The sequence below is a fragment of the Homo sapiens genome, chromosome 4 (genome assembly GCF_000001405.40).
Source record: "Homo sapiens chromosome 4, GRCh38.p14 Primary Assembly".
In the NCBI taxonomy this organism is placed as follows: domain Eukaryota; kingdom Metazoa; phylum Chordata; class Mammalia; order Primates; family Hominidae; genus Homo; species Homo sapiens.
In genome coordinates this window covers 42,784,557-42,792,042 of record NC_000004.12, presented here as the reverse complement: position 1 = coordinate 42,792,042, position 7,486 = coordinate 42,784,557, and the positions used below count along the sequence as shown (strand labels likewise).

General features: G+C 44.2%; 2 annotated features.

Moving 5' to 3' along the window:
* Nucleotides 4,766-5,309: an enhancer, noted in NCBI's record as "OCT4-NANOG-H3K27ac-H3K4me1 hESC enhancer chr4:42788751-42789294 (GRCh37/hg19 assembly coordinates)". NCBI's record gives its function as "activates a minimal SCP1, AML or CMV promoter by ChIP-STARR-seq in naive H9 embryonic stem cells {active_cell/tissue: H9 hESC(naive)}" and the evidence as "EXISTENCE:reporter gene assay evidence [ECO:0000049][PMID:30033119]".
* Nucleotides 5,310-5,853: an enhancer, noted in NCBI's record as "OCT4-NANOG-H3K27ac-H3K4me1 hESC enhancer chr4:42788207-42788750 (GRCh37/hg19 assembly coordinates)". NCBI's record gives its function as "activates a minimal SCP1, AML or CMV promoter by ChIP-STARR-seq in naive H9 embryonic stem cells {active_cell/tissue: H9 hESC(naive)}" and the evidence as "EXISTENCE:reporter gene assay evidence [ECO:0000049][PMID:30033119]".

Genomic DNA, 7,486 nt, shown 5'->3' with positions numbered 1-7,486 from the left:
TCAGAGAATACTATAAACACCTCTAAGCAAATAAACTGGAAAAATCTAGAAGAAGTGGATAAATTCCTGGATGCATACACCCTCCCAAGACTAAATCAGGAAGAAGTTGAATCCCTGAATAGAACAATAACAGGCTCTGAAATTGAGGCAATAATTAATAGCTTACCAACCAAAGCAAGTCCAGGACCAGACGGATTCACAGCCAAATTCTACCAGAGGTACAAGGAGGAGCTGGTACCATTCCTTCTGAAACTATTCCAATCAATAGAAAAATAGGGAATCCTCCCTAACTCATTTTATGAGGCCAGCATCATCCTGATACCAAAGCCTGGCAGAGACACAACAAAAAAAGAGAATTTTAGACCAATATCCCTGATGAATATCGATGCAAATATCCTCAGTAAAATACTGGCAAACCGAATCCAGCAGCACATCAAAAAGCTTATCCACCATAATCAAGTGGGCTTCATCCCTGGGATGCAAGGCTGGTTCAACATACGCAAATCAATAAATGTAATCCAGCATATAAACAGAACCAAAGACAAAAGCCACACGATTATCTCAATAGATGCAGAAAAGGCCTTTGATAAAATTCAACAACGCTTCATGCTAAAAACTCTCAATAAATTAGGTATTGATGGGACACATCTCCAAATAATAAGAGCTATTTATGACAAACCCACAGCCAATATCATACTGAATGGGAAAATACTGGAAGCATTCCCTTTGAAAACTGGCACAAGACAGGGATGCCCTCTCTCACCACTCCTATTCAACATAGCGTTGGAAGTTCTGGCCAGGGCAATCAGGCAGGAGAAAGAAATAAAGGGTATTCAATTAGGAAAAGAGGAAGTCAAATTGTCCCTGTTTGCAGATGACATGATTGTATATCTAGAAAACCCCATCATCTCAGCCCAAAATCTCCTTGAGCTGATAGGCAACTTCAGCAAAGTCTCAGGATACAAAATCAATGTGCAAAAATCACAAGCATTCTTATACACCAATAACAGACAAACAGAGAGCCAAATCATGAGTGAACTCCCATTCACAATTGCTTCAAAGAGAATAAAATACCTAGGAATCCAACTTACAAGAGATGTGAAGGACCTCTTCAAGGAGAATTACAAACCACTCCTCAATGAAATAAAAGAGGACACAAACCAATGGAAGAACATTCCATGCTCACGGATAGGAAGAATCGATATCGTGAATATACTTTTAATTCTGTCATAAAAACACTCAAGACCACGCTTCAATCCGTAAGTTCCCCAATAAGCCACCCTTTACCAACAAACTGGATTTGTCTGCCTCCTTCTTTGGTTTCTTAGCTCCTTCCGCATTGGGGGCTAGCATTACATATATGTCCTTTCACGGAACCTCTCTAACATAACAACTTGAGCTTATTTTCACTAGGGCCTTTATCACACTAAATTGTATATATTTGCTTACTTGTCTGTCTCCTCCACTAGAATCTACAATAGAATCCAAGGTTTTTGAAGTAGAAAATATGTCTTATTTATTTAAGAAACGATTGACACTTGATTTTATCTTTAGACTACGATTTTTTGTCAGTTCTCTGAATTTGATATCTGTCCTGATAACCTTTCTTACTTCGGAAACAAGAAACTACTTTCTTTCTGCCATGTGAGGAAGCTAGGAATGAAAAAGTTTTACTTCAAAACCAGCAAGTCCTTAATTCTTTATATTTTCTATACATTATGCTTAATAAGGTTTTTTATACATTATGCTTTTTATACATTTTTTATACATTATTTTCTATACATTATGCTTAATATGTTTTTTTAATCTATTCCTATGAAGCAAGGTGACATTTGTAATATTCTTCCTGGAAATCTCCTTAGCTAGATCATTGGATTCATTAGCGATATGGTTTGGATTTGTGTCCCCACCCAATCTCATGTCAAATTGTAATCCACAGTGTTGGAGGAGGGGCCTGGTGGGAGGTGATTGGATCAAAGGGGGGAATTTCCTGCTTGCTACACTCATGATAATGAGTGAGTTCTCACAAGATTTTGTTGTTTAAAAGTGTGTAGCACCTCCCCCTTCTCTCTCATCCTCCTACTCCAGCCACATAAGATGTGCCTGCTTCTCCTACTACCATGATTGTAAGTTTCCTGAGGCATCCCCAGCCATGCTTCCTGTACAGCCTGAAGAACCATAAGCCAATTAAGCCTCTTTTATTTATAAATTACCCAGTCTCAGGCAGTTCTTTAGAGCAGGGTGAGAACAAACTAATACAATTAGATACATTTTCTATCACTGCAGGAAACAGTGCTGCTAAACTTTCTTCTATTATATAACAAGAGTTACTTTTCTTCCAACCTCTGATACTATTTTCATTACCTGCTTTTAATCCTTCCCCAACAGCCTACTTGGGGCCCTTTTAGCGTCTATTAACATGCTCCTCATGGTGTTTAAGATTTTATTAACAGTCTCATCAGCCCTACCCACCAACGAATCCATATGTTTTGGGGTTCCTTTAATGGCTGCATCCTATTTCCAAATACCATGTTCCCAATAACATGCTCATGTTATCTACTGATTCATGACAGCTCATTCCAAAACTAGGGGCTTAAAACTACAACTGTTTCAATATTAGTACTGGCTGAGGCACTGTGGGAAGGAAATGCAAAAGTGTACCCAGAATACATGCCATCTTTTCTAAAGTGGAATGTGTGTGATGTAAACAACTTGTCACCACATGGTTGGTTGGTCACCTAGAGTGATGATATCATACTAGAGGATTGGCATTGGTTTCTGTTACTGACAGTTTGAATATTCAGCAACAGAATTTGTGTATCAGCCTTAGGGAGAAGGAGTCTATGCAGCTGGGCCCAGGCATAGGCTCTATCTCTGTCACCATGCTACTCCTTTCATGAACCCATTCAGCAAGCACTGGAATAGTTAAGATCATAGGCTAGCTACCTACTCACCAAGCTCTTCTGCTCATTTGGTGGAGAAGCTCTTCTACAGTCACTGTCCTCTGGTGAGTATTAACATGCAACACAAAAACCCTCACTCTTTGTACTCACTCACATAGGTCCATCCATATGCCTCTTCCCCATACTTCTTCATCCCTGACCTTCTAATCTTCCTCCTTTAACCTCTCTAAGCAAAAAACTAAGCTACTTGCTAAGCTATTTGCTGACACTCCCCACCCTCCTAGTCATTTCTATTCCAAAGGAGGCCATAATGGCACCTTAGGTTTCTAGGTTTTGGCATCAACTCATACCCTATGTGTTAGGCCATTTTTGCATTGCTATAAAGAAATAGCCGGGGCTGGAAAATTTATAAAGAAAAGAGGTTTAATTTGGTTCACAGTTCTATGGGCTGTACAGGCATGGCACCAATAGTTGCTCAGCTCCTGGTGAGGCCTCAGGAAGCTTACAATCATGGTGGAAGGCAAAGGAGACCCAGTGTATCACATGGCAGGAGAAGGAGCAAGAAACTGGGGAGGTACCACACACCTTTAAATAACTATATCTCACATGAACTCACAGCAAGAACTCACTAATCACTAAGGGAATGGTGCTCAGACATTCATGAGGGATCTGCCCCCATGATGCAATCACCTCCCACCAGGCCCCACCTCTGACACTGGGAATCACATTTCAACACGAGATTTGGAGGCAATGAGCATCCAAACTATATCACCCTATATTCAGTTGTTCTTGTATGTGCATACAAGAACCCCATATGGAGTTACATACTCCTAATGGGGTCCTTAAAAGATCTGAGTATTCCCCTTTTCCCAGTGTACATTTCCCCCAAGTAAATGATAAAATCCTTTGAGAAAGGAGTGGGAGAATCACTACAAGACATACTTGCCATGGTGTTGAAAATCTTTTCATAGAGGGAAATCAGCCTCTCCATCCATTGATGAGTTCCAGATCTGAAAAAAATTCAGGCCTGGGATTTAGAGAAGGGATTATGACTTGCTGCTGGAGTATTCTGCCTCTCCAAGCTGGATCTTTTTGATTACACGTTAAGCAATAACTTTGTTGGCTGCCTATATATCTTTTTTTTCCTTTCAGAAATTTTTATTTACCATTATATTTATTTGTTTGTTTTCTTTTGCCCCAGCTTTAAGGTATAATTGGCAAGTACAAATTATATAGGGGGGCCAAATTGGCTGACTAGAAGCAGCTAGAGTGAGCTGCTCTCATGGAAAGAAGAAAAGAGTGGTGGGTAAAAACTAGCTCTTCAACTGGAACATCCAGGTGGACACATTAAGATTCATCAGTGAAACAAGGAGACCCACAGAGAACAGAGAAGAGCAAAAGAGGACAACTGCCCACCCAGGAGCGGCATGGAGCCAAAGGAGGCCCTCTACCATGAGGAAATGGTGAGTGAGTGAGAGTACCTGGGGACCCATACTTCTGCCACAGACCTTTGTATCCCTGGGCTCAGGAGATCCCCCATGAATCCCTTAACTGGGGCCTTCAGACTGACACAAAGAGCTATGTGGAATCTGGGCAGAGCTGCCACTCAGGCACATACAGAATCTTAGAAGCCTTGGATGCCTGGGCACCCCAGCACCAGCAGCTGCAGCTCCAGCAATAGGGGAGGCCAGGCTCTCTTGCACGCCCCCCAGGAAAGGGGTCAAATTCAAAGGGGCTGAGCAGGGATGTGCTGCAGGCCTTGCATCCACTGCACCTTGCAGGACAAGGCCCTCTGGCCTGGGACACAGGCCACTCCAGCCCCATTAAGTTCTCCACCGGGAGCAGCTCGGCTCTTCCCTGGGATGGAGCTCCCAGAGGGAGAGGCACACCACCATTCCTGCCACTCCGCAGCCCTCGCTCCTCTTGCCCTTAGGCTCTAGAGGGAGTGAGGTGGTTGGGGACTGGCGCAGACCCCTGGCACAGAGCAACAGCCTTATGGAAAAGCAGCCACACTGTTTTCCACATGGGTCCCAACCTCTGCTACTCATCACTGGCTAATACCTCTCAAACTGGCCCCCAGAATAGCCACACTGCCCCCACCTGAACACTTCAGTCGTTTCTCTGAGGAAGAAATCCCAGAGACAAACCACAGCCCTTCTGCCATTGCTGCTGCAGTGGTACCACTCTTACTTCCCTCAGGCTGGGGAAGGGACAAAGGGCCCTGGTTGCTATGCTGTTGCCTCCAGCATGCTTCAGCCACCATACAGAGAAGAGCTCTGTCTCTCTTCCCTGTCAGACCTACCCCCAACTCTTCACCAGGCAGGGCCCCAAACGCTGGACCACAGAACACCTGCTCTACCCCCAGCTGAGCATTCTTACTGCTAGTGGCTCTGTTTTTGCTGAGGAGGGGCTCCCAGAGGCAACTTACAGCCCCTCTGCCACTGCCATGGCGGCAGTTCTGCCCCTGGTGTCCTCAGACTGAAAAAACAAAGAGCCTGAAGGCTGTACTCAGGTTTCCAGCCTGCCACAATCACCATATGGAAAGGAGCCCAGTTTCTTCTCCCTGAAAGCCCTCAACTCCCCACTGTTCATTAAGTGGAGCCTCCAGCTTCCGCCAGCAGCACATCTGCCCCACCTCCTGGCTGAACATTCCCAGTAGCTGTGGCTCTGCGATTCGCTGAGGTGAAGCTCACAGGGGAAACTGAAAGCCCTCTGCCACTGCTACTGCAGTAGTTCTGTCCTTACTGCTCTTGGACCAGGAGCAGGAAGGAGCAAAGGTACCTCTCCTAGATGGGCATTTGTCTTGTTTCGCTCTTCTCTGTTCTCCTGAGTGCTTTAATCACACCTCCAGCAAGCTGCAGTTGCCCTGAGGAAAGAGGCCAGTCTGTCGCCCCGACAAAACCCCTGCCCAGAGGTCCACAAAGTAGCCGGTCCATCCCAGGCCAATTGCACCAATCAATAGAGGCTCTGCATTCCTCTGGGGTGGAGCCCCAAGAGACAAGTGAAAGGTCTTCTGCCATAGCCACTGCCAAGGTCCCTTCTGTTGCTGCCTCCAAGCTAGGGAAGGAACATAAAGCCTTAGCTCACCCCAGGACTGCAGTATGCAGCAGCCGAGGAGTGCCAAACCGAGATCTCCAGCCAGCACTCAAGTGGAAAAGGAGCCCACACTTTCAGGGTACTGAGTGACAGAGTAGCTGCAATTGTGAGGAAACACAGAGGAGTTATGGCTGAGCAAGAGCCTACCTACATGCCATTACGCTTAAGTGCCATCGACTGGATCAAAGCCCAAACTTCAGCACCAAAAATACTTTGCTAATATACCCCTCTGTGAAACCAAGGACAAATACTCAGTTACAAATGAAGACCCTGGACAAAGCCTCAGCCCTCTGAAAACATCCAGAAAAGAAGTCAGCTGACTGTACTCAAATTTGCCATAGTTAAAGGAACATAAGCCCACACAGATGAGAAAGAATCAGTGCAAGAACTCTGGCAACTCAAAAGGCCAGAGTGTCTTCTTACCTCCAAATAACTACACTAGTTCCCTAGCAAGGGTTCTTAACCAGGCTGAAATGACAGAAACAGAATTCAGAATATGGATAGGAATGAAGATTATTGAGATTCAGGAGAAAGTAGAAATTGAATCCAGGGAATCTAAGGATTGCAATAAGGTGATGCAGGAGCTTATAGGCCAAACGACCATTATAAGGAAGAACCAACTGATCTGAAAGAGCTCAAGCACACACTACAAGAATTTCATAATGCAATCACAAGTATTAACAGCAGAATAGACAAAGCTGAGGAAAGAATCTCAAAGCGCAAAGACTGGTTCTCTGAACTAGGTCAGAAAAAATCAGGAAAAAGGAACAAAAAAGAATGAACAAAACCTCCAAGACATCGAGGATTATGTAAAGAGACCAAATCTATGATTCACTGGCATCCCTGAGTGTATTAGGCCATTCTTGCATTGCTACAAGGAAATAATTGAGACTGGATAATTTATAAAGAAAAGAGGTTTAAATTGGCTCGTGGTTCTGCAGGCTGTACAGGAAGCATAGTGTTAACATCGCTTGACTTCTGGGGAGGCCTCAAGGAGGTTTTACTCACATGGGAAGGCAAACTGGGAGCTTGTACATGGAAAAGGTGGGAGCTTCACATAGCAAAAGCAGGAACAAGAGAAAGAGTGGGGACAGAGGAGGTGCCACACACTTTTAAATGACCAGATCTCACAAGAACTCACTATCATGAAGATAGCAACAAGCCATAAGGGATACGCTCCCATGATCCAAACACCTCCCACCAGGCCCCATCTCCAGTAGTGGTTATTACAACTCAACATGAGATTTAGGCAGGAGCAAATATCCAAACTATATCAAGGGAGGAGGAAGCAAGTAACTTGGAAAACATATTTCAGGATATTATCCATGAAAATTTCCCCAACCTCACTACAGAGGCCAACATTCAAATGCAGAAAATGCTGAGAAGCTCTGTGAGATACTACACAAGAAGACCATCTCCAGGACACATACTCATCAGATTCTCCAAGGTAGAAATGAAAGAAAATAATATTAAAGGCAGCTAGAGAA